The sequence below is a fragment of the Homo sapiens genome, chromosome 3 (genome assembly GCF_000001405.40).
Source record: "Homo sapiens chromosome 3, GRCh38.p14 Primary Assembly".
NCBI lineage: Eukaryota > Metazoa > Chordata > Mammalia > Primates > Hominidae > Homo > Homo sapiens.
In genome coordinates this window covers 78,091,377-78,113,525 of record NC_000003.12, presented here as the reverse complement: position 1 = coordinate 78,113,525, position 22,149 = coordinate 78,091,377, and the positions used below count along the sequence as shown (strand labels likewise).

General features: G+C 39.3%; 1 annotated feature.

Moving 5' to 3' along the window:
- Positions 505-1,006: an enhancer, noted in NCBI's record as "NANOG hESC enhancer chr3:78161671-78162172 (GRCh37/hg19 assembly coordinates)". NCBI's record gives its function as "activates a minimal SCP1, AML or CMV promoter by ChIP-STARR-seq in primed H9 embryonic stem cells {active_cell/tissue: H9 hESC(primed)}" and the evidence as "EXISTENCE:reporter gene assay evidence [ECO:0000049][PMID:30033119]".

Sequence of the window (22,149 nt, the reverse complement as noted above, 5' to 3'; positions counted from 1 at the left end):
TCTGCTTTCATTTTGGGTAAGGGACAATTCACTATTTATGTGCAAGAAAAGTGATGGCCACAGCCTCCATGAGACCCCAAAAGGATGAGTTCTTAGGAGCAAAGGAATTTGGTAATTACATAAGAGAACTTGTACATTTTAATTGAAAAGAGATTTAAACTATGCCTAGTGAATAAGAAAATCTGATAAATCTTAGAGCTAAAGTGTAGACAGGTAACATGAGGAATGTTGTTAGAGATCATTGTTATGGTACTTGTGAACTTGACCCCAGAGCCACAGAACACTGAGCCCAGTAAAAAATATAGGCAAGGAAACCAATGTTATTCACAAAGGAGGCCTTTTTTGAGTGCTTCCATATGCAAAGTGCTTGATGTACATCATCTCCTTAAAGAGAAGAGCACATTTTACACACTACTTTAGAGCTGGGTGACCTTCGTTCAAGAAACAGCTGACATTTAAAACGCATAGTTTGCCTCAGTGCAGAGAATCCCACACCAAAGAAGCCATTTCCTCAATGCCAAGAATCAGTGAATAACCGAGGAATACAGTGATGCACTGATGCACAAGTGGTGGAGCAGTCAATCCACAGCCGATGGAAGGAATAACTGGGAGCATATCAGTGAACAAACTAGCACGAGGCAACGAGCATGGACCCCAGGAGGCAAAGTGGCAATTCTAAGTGAATGGAATACAGACTCATAGTACAGAGGGTGTTGCCCGGGGATGAACAGAGGAATTGCCCTGAGGCTTAAGTAAAAGTTTGCTTTAAATCAGTGGCTCTGAGCCCTGAATGCTCATTAATATCACCTGGGGAGCTTTCACTTCAACAGTACACCCAAGGCCTCACCAGAGACCAATTAAGCCCAAATTTTCTGAGGGCAGGGCCCAAGCAGCAGTCTATTTAAAAACACTCCAGATGATTACAATATGCAAGTAGAGTTGAGACACATTGCCTTAAAGCTGCTGACCCTACAGAAGAGGCCAAGGAGAGAACATTGCTGGAAATGCTGGGAGGAATTCCTGGCCTTTGGGGCCAAAAGATTTTTGCAATCAAATTTTGACTAGAGATATGACTTCATATGCTTAATTGTGTAATGTTATCTCTTGTTTTCCTGATGTTTATTCTGCTTGCTGAATCAGCAAGACATTTTTTGAAATGCTATAGGCTTCTGTTTATATGATCTAGAGAGAAGACTGGTCTAATAGAAATCAAGGACAGAAAATGCTCCAGTTGGAGTGGATTTGTGATGTTGGCCTCTGCCCTGTTGTAAGATTGCCTGAAATGACTGGGACTGGATTTTCTGTCAAAATGAGTTTTATGGAATTGAGATATGATTAGAAGGCTAGAAAATAACATTAGGAACATATTTCTTGTTCTGTTTCCTTCATATTTCTATATTTCTGTAACTTTTCACTACTCCTAAAGAGAGTAGCTGTTGTATACAAAGAAGCTACTATTATTAGATATTACCTAGTTTTACAGACATAATTTATTATATAATAGTCCTGCTAAATAAATACTGCTATCTTTTTTATGGCATCAAAAACAAAGCCTTAGTGAAATTAAGGTAGTATTTTTTTAAATGTCAAACGTGTTTAGAGTGTGACCAAGAAGTAAAACTCAGGTTTGCTTTAATTCAAAGCCAGTTATTTCAGTAAGTTCAAATTCGTGTGAAATAACTTATCTGATGCCTGATAGTTTGCTAAATGTTTATTTGACTTAAGTAAATAATCTCTTGTGTTTTACTTGTTAGGATGAGAATGATGAATTGATACTGTAATAGTAAGAGACTATCTAAAACCAATGGGAAGGACGTTTGGGGACAGTTTAATTATCTTTTTAATGTATTTTTCTTTGTTTTTTTCTGCAGTTTAATTTGACATGCCTAGATGTAGTTTGTTGACATTTCTTCTCCTTGGTGTTCTGTGAACATACTGGATCTGTGATTGTGTGTCTGACATTAATTTAGGGAAAATTCTCAGTCATTATTTATTCAAATATTACTTCTGTTCCTTTCCCTTTCTCGTCTCATGGTATTGTTATTACATGTATGTTACACTCTTTGTAGTTGTCTCAGAGTTCTTGAATATTCTATTCTGGGTTTTGGGGTTTTGTTTCATTCTTTTAGTCTTTTTCTCTTGGATTTTCATTTTTGGAAGTTTTTATTGACATATCCTTAAGCTCAGAGATTATTTCTCAGCTGTGATGAGTCTATTGAAAGCATTCTTTGTTTATGTTACAGCATTGTTGTGCTGGCAGTATTGTTCCTTTTTTTTTTATCTCTAGCATTTCTTTTTAATTCTTTCTTAGACCTTTCACCTCTTTGCTTACATTATCTATTCTGGCCTTTGTCTCATTCCATGAGAGCTCTTAGCATACGAAAGTTGTTTTAAACTCATGTTCTGATAATTCCAATATCCCTGATAGATCTGTGTCTAGCACTTATGCTTGCTATGTCAGTTAAAAAAAATTTTTTTTTTGCCTTTTAGTATTCCTTGCATTTTTTTTCTTTGAAAGGGGACATAATATACTTGGTTGAAGGAACCAAGTAAAAGGAATGTTGTAAAAAGCCTTTAGTATGTACCCTAAAACTTAAAGTATAATAATAATAAAATTTTAAAAAACAGATCAATCATGAAAATAAGTTCACAAAATTAAAAAAAAAAGGCCTTCAGTAATGTAGTGGTAAGGGGTGGAGAGAGGGAAAATGTTCTGTAGTCTTATGATTAGGTGTCAATCTTTTAGTCAGCTTTAGCCCTTGGGCTGTGAACTTCACAAGCAGTTTTCAGTTCTTTCTTTACTTCCCCCCACTCCCGCCCCCCACTCTTAGGTAGTACAGAATAACTAGAGAGGGCTAGTGTTGGATATTTATTTTTCCACAGGCTGATTAGGCTCTGGTAAAATCCCAGTAGTTTAAGCTCTAGTAAGAAACTGTTTCCTGAGGGCAGGCTTTGTTAAGAAAACCAGGATACTCTGGTATATTTCAATGGTTACTTTTTTCCCCTCTTTGTGCTGGAAGTATGAAGGGGATTCGTCTCCAATATTTACTGTGAGAACCTGGTAGAGCTCCCAGAGGGAAAACTCACAGAAGTGTAGGGGACCTCTCATAACTGGTGCCCCTGGAGTTTTTAACTCCTGGATTTGACCACAGTGAGTCTACAATAAATGGTCAATCACTAGTTGAGGTTTTCCTATCCACGCAGCTAGTTGTTCATGCAGGGGTTTCTGCTCGTGTAAGTTATGATTCTCTCCGTCTACCTGTCTCTCCAGCTTTAGGAGCAGTGGTTTGGCCTACAACCTCACTTATCTGAGGAATCTAAGAAGAGGTGTTGATTTTTCCATTTGTTTGGCTTTTTACTTGCTGTTAGTATGGGGTGGTGACTTCGAAGCTCCTTACATGCTGGACCAGAAACTGGAATTCTCTTTAGTATATTGTTGTTCTTCTTTCTTCTTTTCAGCAACAAATGCAAACTAAAGTATAACAGTTTAACTAAAAAAATACAGAAACAAGCTCTTATTTCCTGCTGAGTTTGAGAGAAAGTATTATCAATTTGTGCTACCTGCACTATCCCTCCTCATTCTTGCTTCCTGGCATAATAAGCCTCATAGCCTACAAGTTACAGGTGATCTCAATTTATCTTATTTCAGCTCAACATTCCAGCTTAGCAGCACTTCAGAATAAGTTCTGTGATGGTTAATACTGAGTGTCCACTTGATTGGATTGAAGGATGCAATATTGATCCTGGGTGTGCCTGTGAGGGTGTTGCCAAAGGCGGTTAACATTTTTGAGTCAGTGGGCTGGGGAAGGCAGACCCACCTTTAATTGGACGGACACCATCTAATCAGCCACCAGCCAATTTAAAGCAGGCAGACAAACATGAAGTGACTGTGTCTGGAATTGGTGGGTTCTTGGTCTCACTGACTTCAAGAATGAAGCCGTGGACCCTCGCGGTGAGTGTTACAGCTCTTGAGGTGGCGCGTCTGGAGTTTGTTCCTTCTGATGTTCGGATGTGTTCGGAGTTTCTTCCTTCTGGTGGGTTCGTGGTCTCGCTGGCTCAGGAGTGAAGCTGCAGACCTTCCCCGTGAGTGTTACAGCCCTTAAGGTGGCAAGTCTGGAGTTGCTCTTTCCTCCCGGTGGGCTCGTGGGCTCGCTGGCTTCAGGAGTGAAGCTGCAGACCTTCGCGGTGAGTGTTACAGCTCATAAAAGCAGTGTCGACCCAAAGAGTGAGCAGCAGCAGGAAGATTTATTGCAAAGAGTGAAAGAACAAAGCTTCCACAGTGTGGAAGGGGACCTGAGCAGGTTGCCACTGCTGCCTCGGCAGCCTGCTTTTATTCTCTTATCTGGCCCCACCCACGTCCTGCTGATTGGTAGAGCCGAGTGGTCTGTTTTGACAGGGTGCTGATTGCTGCATTTACAGTCCCTGAGCTAGACACAAAGGTTCTCCACGTCCCCACCAGATTAGCTAGATACAGAGTGTCGACACAGAGGTTCTCCAAGGCCCCACCCGAGTAGCTAGATACAGAGTGTCGACTGGTGCATTCACAAACCCTGAGCTAGACACAGGGTGCTGACTGGTGTGTTTACAAACCTTGAGCTAGATACAGAGTGCCGACTGATGTATTTACAATCCCTGAGCTAGACATAAAGGTTCTCCACATCCCCACCAGACTCAGGAGCCCAGCTGGCTTCACCCAGTGGATCCCGCTCGGGGGCTGCAGGTGGAGCTACCTGCCAGTCCCATGCCGTGCGCCCGCACTCCTCAGCCCTTGGGTGGTCGATGGGACTGGGTGCCATGGAGCAGGGGGCGGCGCTCCTTGGGGAGGCTCAGGCCGCACAGGAACCCTCGGAGGGGGTGGGAGGCTCAGGCATCGTGGGCTGCAGGTCCCGAGCCCTGCCCCACGGGAAGGCAGCTAAGGCACCACGAGAAATCGAGCGCAGCACCCATGGGCCAGCACTGCTGGGGGCCCCAGCACACCCCCTGCAGCCGCTGGCCGGGGTGCTAAGCTCCTCATTGCCCAGGGAGGCAGTGCCAGCAGGCTGCTCCGAGTGCCGGGCCGCCAAGCCCAGGCCCACCCGGAACTCCATCTGGCCCGCAAGCTTGGCGTGCAGCCCCGGTTCCCTCCCACGCTTCTCCCTCCACACCTCCCTGCAAGCTGAGGGAGCCGGCTCCGGCCTCGGCCAGCCCAGGAAGGGGCTCCCACAGTGCAGCGGTGGGCTGAGGGGCTCCTCAAGTGCCACCAAAGTGGGAGCCCAGGCAGAGGAGGCACCGAGAGCGAGCGAGGGCTGTGAGGGCTGCCAGCACACAGTCACCTCTCATGACGAGATGGGCCTAGCCTCCCAGCCTATATCTTTCACCCATGCTGGATGTTTCCCACCCTCGGACATCAAACTCCAAGTTCTTCAGTTTTGGGGCTCAGACTGGCTCTCCTTGCTCCTCAGCTTGCAGACAGCCTATTGTGGGATCTTGAGATCACATAAGTTAATACTTAATAAACCCCCATATATCCTATTAGTTCTATCCCTCTAAGTGAACCCTAACACAAGTTCTTATGTTAAAGTCTATTAATTACATTAGACCTGAGAATATTTATTAAGCAATTTCTGTGTGCCAGGCACTGGACTAAGAAAGAAGATAGTCTCAGTTATAAGGCCTTATTGTTATTAAAGCTTTGCCTCTGGCTATTCAATGCCCTGTCTCTTCTTATTGACTACTGAGTCTATTGAATTAAACTGTTTGTCCTGCCTATTGATACTTACGACTTCTAGTTCTTAAGTATTCTATTAATTACTGATTAATAGTCCCAGTTTGTTTGCACCAAGCTGGGTATTTGTTATGTATGTCTTTAATTTTTAAAACCTGCCTAGGTTCTCACATTACTTTATTGTGACCATTCACTAAGATATATTCTGATCAGTAGTAATCTGGTGTTTGGCCACATCTGACTTACAATCCAAACAACAGACCTCGTATGTTTTTTAGAATTTTAATTCCTTATTTAGCTCCATTAAAGGGTGCCAAGTGCCTTATGTGATGAGGAAAATTGAAATGATTTCCCACTCCACCCTCACTGATACGTCTAAAGAGTCAGACCATTCTTCTTGCCAATGATTAATTCAAAGTGAGCAGGTCTTGGTGATTTGAAACAGTCAACTCAGAAGTGATTTGCTGGAGAATTTGGAAAAACAGTTTCCCATAGTTAAGAGAGTCATTGGGAGCCAGTCTTTGCTCATTTTTTAATTGACAACTAGGAAAGATGTTCTCTGGATTGGTACCAGAAGCCCAGATAACAATGATAAGAAGATAACGATGAAGTGGACAAGAAGTCTGAGAGATGAAAAGAACCTGTGTCTGTGACATTGCTGAACCACTTCATCAACCAAACCAAGACCCCTTGATTGGGATGTATTTTCTTGTACGTGAACTCTTTCTACTTGTATATTGTCTATTTTAAATAGTCTTATGCATCAGAGTGAGATGATATGTTAAGCAGAATAATTGTTCCCCAAAGATGTACATGTGCTAACCCCCAGAACCTGTGGATACATTATCTTACATGACAGTGAAGACCTTGCAGATATATTACATTTAAGAATCTGGGTATGGCAAGATTCGCCTGTATTATCTGGGTTAGCCCATTGTCATCACAAGTGTCCATGAAAGTGGAAGGAGTTAGCAGAGGTCAGAGTGATGGGATGTGAGTAGGACTTGACCTGCTGTTATTGGCTTTAAAGATGGAGGAAAAAAGTAGAATCCAGACATGTAGCTGACCTCTAGAAGCTAGAATATTCAAGGAGACAAATTCTCCCTTAGAGACTACAGATGGGAAAACAGCCCTGCTGACACCTTTATTTTGACTTGGACTCCTGACCTACATAAATGAAAAACAATTTTATATTTTATGCCACTAATTTTGTGATAATTTGCTATGGCAGCACGGGAAACCAATGTCACAGAACAAAAGCCACTACGGATATCAAGGAGCTGACCTGGTGCTCATAGATAGAGCTCAATGTCCTGTTGAACACAATTTCTCAGAACATCAGCATTAGACAAGAACACTCTGTGAGTGTGATAGATTGAAACAAATGAAAAAAGACCACGTTATAATCATGTCTGAACACAGACAAAATTGTGAATCACATACCTATGTCATAAAAACGACTAACCATGCTCCTTATTCTGTTTAATATGTTACAGCTTCTCCTTTTTGAATTATTATGTTAATTTTTCTTAGCCTTTGCTTCTAGATAAGCTCCATTAAAATGTTCAAAAAATTTTACTTCATGACAATATGCTATTCATAGTAAAGTCACATGTCTTTAAACGTTCCCCCAAGTCACCTAAAACAAGCTCAAATCTGTTAATAGTCCCTTCTTACACACTTACTGAAATGTCTGTCAATAGTTGATGAAAGTTGTTTACCTTTCTGGAATAAATTAAAAAAAAATTTGTTCAACTACAGATGTGATCCCGGAGGACTTGGCCGGGAGTATATAGGCTAGAGATACACACACACACACACACACACACACACACACACACACACATGCATTTTTAAAGCAGGTAGGTTTTTTTCAAATTGATTTTTATCCTATAATTAGAGGTCTAAAAAGTAACAAATTCTGTTAACCAAACTCCATAAAGAATAGCAAGGATTTTCTTGTACCTACTTTCTTCCACTCATGCAGATGTTAGTTTTGTATCACCAATGGTGAGTAGGTTTGGAGTACACTAATCTAGTCTATGGATATGTCCTTATCTTGGAAAAAAAAAAAAAAAAACCTAAGAAACTACACCTATGAGAAGCCACAGTTGTAACTCAAAAGTGAAGACATATTTAATCCTAAAGTTGAAGTAAAGGTGCTAAAGGCAGCCAGATATCAAGGCCATTGGGCAAGAGAGTAAAGTGCTGTGGATGAAGTTTGATGTGGGTGTTGCATTTACTTTATTTGTTCAAGCTGAGAGAGAATTTATAAAGAGAGGTTGTATATTTGTGTGCCTGGTGATATGGTGTTCAATAAGTGCTACTGAGATAAGCTCTACTGCTCAGGGATATCAGGATGATTGCCTAAAATCCTACTGTGTAATGTAGGTCTCCATTGTAGAAGTCAGGTATCCCTAAATTTTTATGAAAGTATTCATCAGTCCAGTAGAAAGTATTCTGACTGTGTAATATAAAAAGTAGATAATAGGCTACTAGTGCTGATTAATTGCAGTTCATATCTCATGTTTAAGAATGTGCCCTAAATGTTAACTAATTTGTATGTATCAGTAATGTCAAATGTTAATACAGTATATGCATAGTTTTAAGATAGTATGTATACCTCAAATTCAGCTATTTTAAAGAAAAAGATCAAGAATAAGTAAATTTTGAAAATATACAGTGGCTTGAGCAAGACAGTCATTTATTTCAGTGACATACCAAGGGCGGGGGTATATGAATGGTATGCCCCGGTGGGAAGAAGTAGTTTCTTCCCTGACATTGTTTAGTAATGTAATACACGGTGACTTTTTTTTTTAAAGGCAGATGGGATTTTAGTTGATTTTATTATTTAGACATTCACTACAAAATATGTACCCCATTCGTACCTACACTGAGTAGACTAAACACATTGCTTACCCCCTCAGCATCTCACTGTCCATCTGTTTTATGGAAAAGAGCCAAGGTAAATAGGCCAAGCTGGTGGGAGATTATGGCCCAATTCAGGGACCAAGTTTATTCCCATATAGTTGCTTCTTCATCCCTTAGGGCATTGTCATCATCTGCATGATAAAAGCTTGCTCTTATATATGTTGCAGGTGGGAATCTAAAATGGTACAGCACTTTGGAAATTGTTCTGAGAGTTTTTATAATAGTTAAACATACTCTTCCCATAGCCCAGCAATTCTACATATTTGTTTGGGAAAAGTGGAAACATATGTTTATACAAAAATTTTAACAAGAATATAGTATAGTAGCTCTTCTCATTATAGCCATAAACTAGAAACAACCCAAATTCCCATTAATAGGCGAATAGATGAAAATACACAAAGAAATAAAAAAAGAACCTACTGAAACATGAAACCACACGGATGAAAAAGTGGCATAAGAAAATTTTAGAAGTAATGAAAATGTTCCACATCTCAATTGAGTGATAGTTAGATGGGTGTATATATTTTGTCAGAATGCTCCACTTAAAATTTATACATTTTACATTATGTAAAATATACCTCAAAAGTCAAAGCTAGATCATAGGCACATTACTGTTCTACTTTATGTAAACTAAAAAGAATGCAGGCAAGACCAAGCAATTTAAAACTTTTCATTTATATTTAATTAAATGAAGTCATAAGGCCCTACTTAGCTACAAGGAAGTGTGGGAAGAGTTTTCTCTAGCTGGGGAACATATGTCCAGAGTGAACTTTATGATCTTGGAAAAAATCAATGACAATTTTAGGCAACTACAAAATTTAGTAACTATACATTTATATGTGTGTAGATTTATAAAATCCTCTGTAGACATTTTTTTGTTAAAATAAGGGCAATTTGTTTTAAGAGACCAATAGAGATTCATTTTACCCTAAATAATATTTTGTGTACTAACCACAAAATTTTATATTGATCTATTTAAAACAGACATTTCTAAATGCCTCATAAGTTAAACACTATGCCCTAGAGATCTTGTTAAAATAGCATTTAAGTTTTAGCTTGTTTCAACAACTTTAGCTACTATTGTTTTGATAGATATATCTACCTTCCTTTACTTCATGGTGCCAGAATCCTGATATTTGCTACTTTTCAAAAGATATGAAAATAATATTTATAGTGATTTTAGTTTAACTATGTTCAGATAGGTATCCTAAATAACTTTAAAGTTTTGTCTTCAAAACTGGCAAGCTGAGTTCTACACTTGGATGTAGCTTTTCTTTTGCACAATGGGAATTCTTTTACAAAACTAGCCTCTACTGTTTTTATAATATTTAGAGAAAATATACAGAAAAAAGAGAATCAGTAAGTTTTGATAATTATGACTTTTATTTTTATACTTTAAATGTATATTTCAGATAACCTCATTTTTATTTCGTAATAATGAATGTTCATCCCTTTGTTGCTTTTTGTGTTAGCTTATTGAAAGTTTCCTCTTCTGTGAGCTGTCGTCACTTCTTTTTTTTTTTTTTTTTTTTTTTTTTTGAGATGGAGTCTCGCCCTGTTGCCCAGGCTAGAGTGCAGTGGCACAATCTGGGCTCACTGCAAGCTCCGCCTCCTGGGTTCACGCCATTCTCCTGCCTCAGCCTCCCGAGTAGCTGGGTCTATAGGCGCCCGCCACCACGCCCAGCTAATTTTTGTATTTTTAGTAGAGACCGGGTTTCACCGTGTTAGCCAGGATGGTCTCGATCTCCTGACCTTGTGATCTGCCCATCTCGGCCTCCCAAAGTGCTGGGATTACAGGCGTGAGTCACTGCGCCCGGCCGCTGTCGTCACTTCTTAGTCTTCCTTCCATTCCCCAGTTCCTTGCAATCTGCCTTCTGTTTTGGTCACTCTAAATAAACTACTTTCTGTTAGTTGCCTGGGAAAACCCTTTTAAATCTAAATCATGCTTTTTAGTAATTTTTCTTAATTGCAGTTGGTAGCATTTAACATTTTTAAAAAAATCTCTCTTTAGCTTCTTTTACTAGCACTCTTCCTCTCCTCCTAGCTATCAGAATCTTTCTGCAGATTCTTTCTTTGGCTCTCCCTTCAGTCTTTAAGTGTTGTAATTCTTTAGGATTTTATTTTTGGCCCTTAGCCTTCTCTTATCCTCCACATGCCCCTGACTTTCTTTCTGGTATAAACGTGGTTGACCCCACATCATCACCCTTGACCAGTTCTTGACCACTATCATCCAATACAGATGTTTCAAAGTATCCCAAGGTAATCTTGGATCTAAACTAGTTTTCTTCATGTATTTGTTGTCCATGCTAATTACATAATTTTCTCTTAAGTGTATCAACTAAAAGTCTTGAAATATCAACCCTTATTTAACCCCTAATCAAGATCTACCTGGAAAACTACCATTTTTGTTTTTTAGCTGCTCAGTGTTCTCATTGCTTCTGTGCTATTTGAGGCCCTATTATTTTGTTTAGATTATTGCAACAACATCCTGTTTCTATATTCCCCAATTCATTCCTCAAACTATTAGAGCTATCTTTCTAAGATATGAGTATAATCTATCACAATCCTTAAAGATATTACTCAGAGATTATACATTTTAGGAAAATATACACATGTAGTCATATGTATTTGATTAAGATTATTAAGAGAAACAGGTCAAAAATATGACTCTTGTGGCATTAAAGTCCTGTATTTATTTTCCTGGCAACACTTGAACATATTTCTTTTTGGTTTGAAGACTGTATCATCAACCATGAAGACATTGACAGGCAATGTGCCTCTTGACCCCCATGCAAGAGTGCTTCTGATCTCTGCAGCCTGACAGATAAGAGAGAAAAAAAGATCAACATCAAAACTTCTGAATTGTATTTATCGGATTTATAAAACATTCAGCATCAGTAAACCTGAGCTTCAGCAATGGGTAAGCAAGTTTCTCTTTTTGAAGAAGACAGCAAAACTCAGAGACGAGGTCAGAAGGGGGTTTGAGGCCAGCCAGAGGTTATATGTTAAGTATCTCACATGTTGTGTGTGTGTGTGTGTGTGTGTGTGTGTGTGTGTGTGTGTGTGTGTTACAGGTTATATATTATCAAGGAATCATATCTAAGAACACATAAACTGGCATCTGGCCCGTAGTAGGATCTCAGGGAGTACTTACAGATCAGAATCTGAACAGGAAAATGAAAAATGGTCATCTTCTGTTTTCATTTCATTTCATGCAGCCATGCATAAAAGGGATCTGGTTAACTCATTTTGGAAAAGAATTCCAGCTCTGGGAAACTCTTGAGTCATTAGGCTATAATTGTCTTCAGAAGCCTGTGAAAATAAGCCAGAAACCACTGTATGCTGGCAAGTAGCGTCTCCCGTACAGGGCACTGAAGATGATGTGCATAAAAGCATGAACTAATGTGTAGGGTCAGTTAAATGCCATGAATTTTACATCAGCTAAACATGAAGTACTGAGCAGCTCAGATAGACAGATTTACATGCTGAAAAAAAGCATTTTATCAGGATAGAGAACTGTGCTGTACTTGTGCTAACACTTCCTAGATTGTAGCAATAGGCAAGTCTTGTCACTTTTCACACATGAAGTGGGGATAGAAATAGAGTTCTTTTGAAGATCAAATGAGATAGGAATATTAAAACATGCTTTGTAAAACTTTGGAAAAAGGAATTACTGTGAACTGGTCCCATGTATAACAGTAAAGCTTGCAGGTCTTCAAGGTGATTAGTAATGCAGAGATGAAAGTTGCTATGGAATTCTGTGCTTTAAACAAAAGATACTCTGTGATTTGATGAGCAACAAAGAAAGTACAAAATGTTAGCACATTCACCTCTAGGCAGGGAGATAAAGTGTAGAGTCTTCACTGCACTAACAATAAGCTTAAAATAATCGCCTAACAGCAATGCCTGTATTTTGAACCTATCATAGTAGCTGTTTGCAGTTTCATAAGTAGATGACCATTATTTCCTTCAAATGTTACATTACCGCCTACAGTTACAATGAACTGAAATCTTAAAACACAGCCAGATCATGGTGAGCAAAGAAGGGAAGACTGAAGTTCTTTTGGGTAAGCTCTACTGTGTATGTTCAGAGTCTTGACAGTGAGCCAAATAATGAAAGGCATGCTGATGTCCAGGAGAAAAGTCACAGCATTGATGGGAGCCATGGCAGTGTGCAAATGAGTGTCATGGGAAGCAAATGGCAATACACCTTTTCTTCAACAAGAAAGACAATGATGGGCCAGGCGCAGTGGCTCATGCCTGTAATCCCAGCACTTTGGGAGGCCTAGATGGGCAGAACACTTGAGGCCAGGAGTTCGAGACCAGCCTGACCAACGTGGCAAAACCCTGTCTCTACTAAAAATACAAATGTTAGCCAGGTGTGGTGGTGCATGCCTGTAATCCCAGCTACTCGGAGGCTGAGGCAGGAGAATCACTTGAACCTGGGAGGTGAAGGTTGCAGTGAGCTGAGATCGTGCCACTGCACTCCAGCCTGGATGACAGAGTGAGACTCTGTCTCAAAAACAAAACAAAACAAAAATAAAAGTGGCATCTGCAGGCATTTCCAAAGCAGCCAATGAAATTATTGGAAATTTGGCATATATCCATTGCGTTCTGTTGAGTACATTTAGGAGAAGAACCTCTCCATTTTTACACATATTTAGTTATCTACATGGTTGTAACATTAGGAAGGCAGCCTGTCACAAAGAAAGCAATAGGCCCAAATAAAAAAAATCACTTTTATATAAAAATAGAATAGTCTTACTTTGTGTTTTATTTTTCCATTTATACCCCCAGGGTGGGTATCAAGTATCTATCATCTAACATATGTATCTTCTAATGTTATATGTTGAAATGGGTAGATAATCTCAAATTTTGATTAATAGAAAATTGGATAAAGATCTTGACTGTAACGGGAATTGGATTGAGATTTTGGCTGTTAATATTTTCTTCATGCAAATGATATCTTAGAAAAAACACTCAAAAACTTAGCATTCAAATATATTGCATAAAATATGCCATAGGATATGTTTAAAGGGTGTTTGAAGAACTTAGAATGTATACCAGAAATGTATGCAAAGTCAAGGATCAATTGTTTTATTTTAGGTAAGAACTAATGTGGTTCTAACCTTTTGAACCATTCTGTAAAAATGTATCAACTCAATACTAAGATTCTGCCATACATGAGTTTCAGATTAAATTTAAATTCTATATACCTCTAAACTCCCTATTATGATGTAAATTATGTTTTAAAACTTTTATCCCAGCTATTTAGTAGTGAGAATGCTGCAGGAGAAATGATATATTGTAAAAACACTGAAATTCCCTGTTATCTGTACTTCTTGACTGATCTCAATTATTTTCAAATTCTCCCAAATGCAAATTATTTCTTGCTTTCTAGATAGTCTAACACCTCACTCTCGAACTCCAGCATCACCCCAAATTGTATCATACCACTCTAAAATAAACTTTCCTTGTCACAAGCCTTTTTATTAATAGCACTTCACTTAAAATTGCAGTTAAAGTGCTATAGCAATTATCTGAGCGATAACTTGAATTTACTGCAGCTTTTCTTCATTTGGTAACCTTTCAGCACACGCAATAGACGGATGGCAAATCTGGCCAATTAAAATTGAGACAATTTTTTTTTTTTTTGCCTTTTCATAACTGAAATAGACTTTGCTTGAAAGAGGAATGCTAGCCTTAGTTCCTGTCATTGCTTACTTAGGACATAGTAGCAAGTCAAATTTCAAAGAAAAAGCATAGGTTATAGTGAAAGTTTCCAGTTTTCAATGTGGACCTGTGCCTTCTACAAGCAGGTGGGGCTACATGTGTGGCTTCTTCCAGCCGAATGTGTGTTTCTACAGCTGCTAGTCTTTCACACCCGTCAAATGGTTCTGACATTGCTAAAGTTTGTTCTAAAAGAATAAATGAACACAATGATCAAATATCGTCCACCACATAAATCTTTCTTTATTCATTCTCTATGTGGTAATATCTCAAAAACTCTCTTGGAGAGGCAATTCCCAAGCAGAAAAACTTGGCTGTGAGAATTTTCTTTATTGGTAAAAACATATTTATTTAAAAATGTTTAGTTTTATCATCTTTTGATTGAAGTTAAGAAAATTTGTAGAACCCATTTGCCAGATTATTCCTACGTGTTCTAGACAAGACATAATAAAGAGGTCCCCTGATTCAAAATTATTCTCCTCCTTATGCAAAGAATCATAGTATGTTGAAATTTTTCAGAAGCACTAACACTTTTCTAATTCAAACTGGTGTTTTCAAAGATGACAGAAGTGAGTCATGGTTAGAATGAGTGACATGGCGGTCAGTTTCATACAGACAGCTTAGACTGAAACTTTGTCCTATATGCCAGCTGCTTCTCTAATGAGTGTAATTTAGGTTAATAATCTCCTTGTTTTAAAATAAAAATAATTATAGGGGTAGTTGAGCCTATCAGCCAGTCATTCTCTAATATGAATGAATTTAAATTATTTTCTTCTCAAATGATATCAGTTGCAGAAATGAGAAGACTAGCAAGCACTTTTCATGTGAGGAGAGGGTTGTTGGATCTTCAACAGAGAAAACAGTGTCGAAAGTCAGAGGAAGGGAAAAAGGTTGGAGTTTAAAATCTATCATCTATCAGTCTATATAGAGATCTATATTTGAATCTATCTATCCATCTAAATCTATATAGATAAAACATTTTGCAAAATTGCAGAATAGATCTATATCTATCTATCTAGATAGATAGATCTAAAAAGGAAGGGGCCAGCCAAGGGCACCCAACACAAACTTAATCTATTTTGCAATTTCGCCAAAGGCTCTGATGGAAAACATATTTTCTGTTGAAACTTATTTATCAAATTGCTTTAACCACATGCTTGTCTTATAATGATACTATACAATACCAACAAACACATTGTCCTTCTTAGAAAAGGATTTGGGGAGGCAGGCGCGGTCGCTCACACCTGTAATCCCAGCACTTTGGGAAGCTGAAGTGGGTGGTTCACTTGAGATCAGGAGTTCAAGACCACCCTTGCCAACACAGCAAAACCCTAGCTGGCTGTGGTGGTACATGCCTGTAATCCTAGCAACTCGGGAGGCTGAGGCCGGAGAATAGCTGAGCCTGGGAGGGAGAGGCTGCAGCGAGCCGAGATCGCACAACTGCCCTCTATCCTGGGTGACACAGCAAGACTCCATCTCAGGAAAAAAAAAAAAAGGATTTGGAGGAGAGGGGTGTAGACAGAATTAGGAAAAAATGAGAGTTCATGACACATGGACACAGGGAGGTGAACAACACACACTGAGGCCTGTTGGGGGGTAGGGGGCAAGGGGAGGGAGAGCATTAGGACCAATACCTAATGCATGGGGGGCTTAAAACCTAGATAATAGGTTGATAGATGCAGCAAACTACCACGGCACATGTATACCTATGTAACAAACCTGCACGTTCTGCACATGTATCCTGAAACTTAAAACAAAATGAGAGTTGATGGTGGCTACGGTTGAGTAGGTAGGGAGGATTGGGGATGACAGTGTAGAAGTACTGTCGTGGTGGGGCTCAGAACACAATACCCCTGATGTGGTGCTTTGGCATGCTGAGTACTTTGAATTGAAGATTGAAAGGACCTCAGAAGCAAGAATTTCTCTTTCACCTTCTCCCAACCCTCCTTTTGTCTTTTTCCTTTTTCCCATTAAGTAGGTTATAGAAACTAGAATTCCCCTTTCTCATGGTGAGTCAACTAGAACTCTTCTCTCCCAAAGCAAACCATAAAACCAAGAGAGGTCACTCTCTGCCCTACCTCCCTTGAATACTTTCATTATTATAAGGCCACATGACCCTCAATACAGCAGAGTCCTGTCCCATACTTGGGGAAGGAATGTTACACAGGCCAAGAAGAATCTGAACAAATAGGCCTTGCTGAACTTCCCTGAGTTTGTCATCATTAGAGCATATACTTTTTGTCCAACCACATATCTACATAGCTGTCCATCCTTCATAAAACCTAAGCATAAAAATAGTTTTCCCTGGGTCTTTGGGTCTTCATTTCTAAAGGCTTGGTGTCATACAAAACTTTATTCAGTAAATTTGTTTTGCTTTCTTCTGGATAACCTGGATAACCTGCCTTTTGTTATCTGAGTGTCCACCATGACTTTTGTAATGGGAGCAAAATAAATAAATAAATAAATAAATAAATAAATAAATAAATAAATAAAATAAACCCTTTATTATATACATACATGTAACAGCAGACCCTGAATTTTGGCATGTCTACATCTCATAACAATCTTAACTAAACAGAGCAGTTTAGAACAGTATATTTCTTTGTGTGCTGTATTGAACAATTAGTATTAATCACTAGCCAATTAATAAGTAACACTGAATCTGCTACAAAACTTAAAGAAAATTCATAAATTGAGTTTGGCTCAAATATTCCTGTAGTAGAAAAAAATGTTTTTTGAGAACTCCAAATATTTACCAAAGCCCTGATTTGTTTTCTTGTCTGTTTTAATTTTTATAACCTATTTAGTCTCCAATGTAGATACAACCACAGATAAGATCTTTTTTTAACTTAAAGGTTTGTTTGTGACTACTCGTGTTTATATTAGTGTCTAAAGAAATAACTTCCTACCTATGTCAGTTAACATGTGTTTGGCTGTAAGTAGCAGAAAGCCAGATGAATAGTAACTTATGTTAAAAGTTTTAACTTATTGAAAGCAGTCATTTAATTACTTAATAAATAAGACCATGGTTGGCAGTCCAAAGCAGGTCTCTCTATCCTTCTACTCCTCTATGCTGGCCATGTAGGCCTTTTGGGTTTGTGCTCATCTCTCCTTATAAAAAAAAGATAGTGACTATGGCTCATGACATCAGCATTTCATCCATAGGTGACAAGTAGGCTGCAAAACTTTTCTGGAAATGAAAAGTCTCCTAAATGATTTCCTCTTGAATATTGTTTGCCACAACTAGGTATATATCTGACTCTAGACCCATCACAGGCAAGCAGCATAGGGCCATAGTACTGATGGTTTTAATCTAATCGTAAACCATTCTCTGAAACTGGTCAAAGTTAGGTTCTACCTGCTTCAAAATTAGGATGTTAGTAGAGAAGAAGACAGAGGTAGATATAACCCTTTATTAAGCCATGACAGTATTTACCATATTATTACTGAAAGGAAAAAAAGTAGTAGTAAAGGTAGGAAGTTTACTGTGCTTTGAAACAAATACAATTAAAATAAATGCATTAAGAGTTGAAGTTTGAATTCACTTAAGCAATTTTGATTTATCAATAGATTGGTTTCAACATAGATAAATTATTAGAATATATAAAATGTAAAAACAATCTGAAGGTTGGCACTGCCTAAATATTTTATGTATCTTCAGGGATAGTTGATTATAGCCTTGTGTATAAATAATTTAAATAATTGTTCACAAAAACAGCCTAGAATTAAACTGTGCAAGAATTACAAAGAAAGGAAAGAGCCATGTGTTGTAACTATTGTAACAAATCATACCTCAAAGCTGTGGGCCTGGTGGGGGTGGGGAGAGGTGCAGGAAAGAAACAAATTACCAGAAACTTGGTGATTTAAAACAATATGTTTATTTTCTTCCAGTTTTATAGAACAGAAATCTCATGTAGCTCTCACTGAGAGAAAATTAACATAATATCAGGACTTTGTTCCATTCTGGGTGCTCTAGGGTTGATATGGTTTGGCTCTGTGTCCCCACCCAAATCTCATCTCGAATTATAATTCTCACATTCCAGGGGAGGGGCCTAGTGGGAGGTGATTGAATCATGGGGGTGGACTTCCTTTTAGCTATTCTCATGATAGTGAGTGAATTCTCACGAGATCTGGTTGTTTGAAAGTGTGTGGCACTTCCCCCTTTGTTCTCTCTCTCTCCCCTGCTCCACACGGTAAAATGTGCTTCTGCCATTATTGTAAGTTTCCTGAGGCCTTGCAGTTACACTTCCTGTTAAATCTGTAGAACTGTGAGTCATTTAAACCTCTTTTCTTCATAAATTACCCAGTCTTAGGTAGTTCTTTATAGCAGTGTGAGATTAGACTAATTTATGGGGAAAGTCTGTTTTCTCGCCTCTTTCATGTTTTAGGGGTTGCATTCCTTGGTTGGTATCCTTCCTCCTCTGTCTTCAAAGCAAGCAATGGCAGGTTGAGTAATTTTCATATCACATTACTCTGCCATTTCTTCCATAATCATATTTCCCTCCCTGGCCACAAGTGAGAATGGTTCTTCAATTCTTCAATCAGACCCATCTGATTAGATAGGGCCCGCTCATATAATCCAGGATGATCTTCCCTATCTCATGATCCTTAATTTTTGGTACAAAGTCTCCATTCCTGTGTAAGGTAACATGTCCACACAGGTCCAGGGATTCAGGCACCGATATATTGGGTGAATAGGGGAGTGGGGGTGGGCAACATTCTACCTAGCACAATTGACTTTTTTTTTTCTAATCTCAATAAAAAAAATTTACCATTATTAGTCCATTTTCACGCTGCTGGTAAAGACATACCTGAGACTGGGCAGTTTACAAAAGGAAGAAGTTTATTGGCTTCACAGTTCCACATGGCTGGGGAGGCCTCACAACCATGGTAGAAGGTGAAAGGCACATCTCACATGGCAGCAGACAAGAGAAGAGAATGAGGAAGAAGCAAAAGTGGAAACCCCTTAAAAAACCATCAGATCCCATGAGACTTATTTATTACCATAAGAACAATATGGGGGAAACTGCCCCCATAATTCAATTACCTCCCACCAGGTCTCTCTCTCACAACACGTGGGAATTATGAGAGTACAATTCAAGATGAAAGTTGGGAGGGGACACAGAGCCCAACCATATCATTCTGCCCCAGCCCCTCCTAAATTTCATGTCTTCATATTTCAAAACCAATCATGCCTTCCAAACAGTCTCCCAGAGTCTTAACTCATTTCAGCATTAACTCACAGTCCAAAGTCTCATCTGAGACAAGGCAAGTCCCTTCTGCCCATTAGCCTGTAAAATCAAAAGCAAGTTAGTTACTTCTTAGGTACAATGGGGGTACAGGCATTGGGTAATTACAACCATTCCAAATGGGAGAAATTGGCCAAAACAAATGGGCTTCAGGCACCATTCAACTCTGAAATCCAGCAGGGCAGTCAAATATTAAAGCTCCCAAATGATCTCCTTTGACTCCATGTCTCCTATCCAGATCATGCTGATGCAGGAGGTGGGTTCCCATGTTCTTGGGCAGCTCCACCCTTGTGGCTTTGCAGGATACAGTTTCCCTCCTGGCTGCTTTCATGGGCTGACATTGAGTGTGTGCAGCTTTTCCAGGCGCAAGGTGCAAAATGTTGGTGGGTCTACCATTCTGCATTCTGGAGGTCGGTGGCCCTCTTCTCACAGCTCCACTAGGCATTGCCCCAACAGGGACTCTGTGTTGGGGCTCTGACCCCACATTTCCCTTTCACACTGCCCTAGGAGAGGTTCTCCATGAGGGCCCTGCCCTTGCAGCAAACTTCTGCCTAGGCATTCAGGTATTTCCATACATCCTCTGAAATCTAGGCAGAGGTTCCCAAACCTCAATTCTTGACTTCTGTGTACTTATAGGCTCAACACCATTTGGAAGCTGCCAAGAGTTAGGGCTTCCACCCTCTGAAGAAACAGCCCAAGCTGTACCTTGACCCCTTTCAGTCACAGCTGTGGAGGCTGGAATGCAGGGCACCAAGTCCCTAGACTGCACACAGCAGAGGGACCCTGGGCCCTACCCACAAAACCATTTTTCCCTCATGGGCCTCCAGACCTGTGATGGGAGGGGCTTCCATGAAGATCTCTGACATGCCCTGGAGACATTTTCCTCATGGTCTTGGAGATTAACATTCGGCTCCTCATTACTTACACAAATTTCCACAGCCAGCTGGAATTTTTCCTCAGAAAATGGGCTCTTCTTTTCCATCGCATTGTCAGGCTACAAATTTTCTGAACTTTTATGCTCTGCTTTCCTTACAAAACTGAATGGCTTTAACAGTATCCAAGTCACTTCTTGAATGCTTTGCTGCTTAGAAATTTCTTCTGTCAGATACCCTAAATCATCTCCCTCAAGTTCAAATTTCCACACATCTCTAGGACAGGGGCAGAATGCCACCAGTCTCTTTGCTAAAACATAATGAGTCATCTTTGGTCCAGTTCCCAACAAGTTCCTCATTTCCATCTGAGAACACCTCAGCCTGGACAGCATTTTGGGCAAAGCTATTCAACAAGTCTCTAGGAAGTTTCAAAATTTCCCACATTTTCCTGTCTTCTTCTGAGCCCTCCAAACTGTTCCAAATTCTGCCTGTTACCCAGTTCCAAAGTTGCTTCCACATTTCAGGTGTCTTTTCATCAACACCCCACTTTACTGTTACCAATTTTCTGTATTAGTCCATTTTCACACTGCTGATAAAGTCATACCCAAGACTGGGCAATTTACAAAAGAAAGAGGTTTGATGGACTTACGGTTTCACATGGCTGGGGAGGCCTCACAGTCACGGCACATGAAAGGCACATCTCATGTCGAGGCAGGCAAGAGAAGAGAACTAGTGCAGGGAAACTCTCCTTTTTCAAACCATCAGATCTCGTGAGACTTATTCACTGTTATGAGAACAGCAGGGGCAAGACCTGCCCTCATGATTCAATTACCTCCCTTTGGGTTCCTCTCGCAACACATGGGAATTCAAGATGAGATTTGGGTGGGGACAGAGCCAAACAATATCACTGTTCCATTCTGAAATGATAATTTTAAAAGTGTGCTTTATTGTTTTGTCTTTAGAATCTGAAAAATATTTCATAATTTAAAAATAAATCTTATTAGATGCACATAACTTTTGAAATAAAAAAAGGTTTTTTCCCCCTGCTGTGAATTATACTGGTATTTTATACACACATACACATACACAAACCACACAAGCATATACCACACACACATACACACTTCCTACCTTCACCTCCCACTCACACCCCTCACCACATATAAAATGTAAGGGCATAGATGAGGTTGAGCTTTATTTCTACATGTTTAATATGTTTTATGTCTTCTAGGCATTTATTCTGCATAGTAAGTCAGATTTCTGCTGTTGCCCAAATAAACAGAAGTGACTGTTCTATTGTTAGACATTGGAATCAAATAAAACATTAACCGTAAATCACCTCTGCCTTGTCAAATCAGGCCACTTGAAACATTCCAGCAGGTGATAACAAGTCATGCCCCATTGTGAGTTTAGTCTGCCATTTGGAGACACAGGAATTTCCTCATGTCTCTTTTCAGATAGTGTATCTTCAGAATGTGTCGCTCTGAATGCTTCTAGCCTTATTATACTTCTTGGGAAAAAAAGAAAAACAATTTTCAAATAATACAACATCAGAGAATAAGAAACATCATCATGAGTTTTGTTTTAGATGAAGTTTTACTTTTATTTTTTATTTATTTTTAATTTTTTAAAAATGTGGCCAGAAGGGATAGAGTTTTATTTT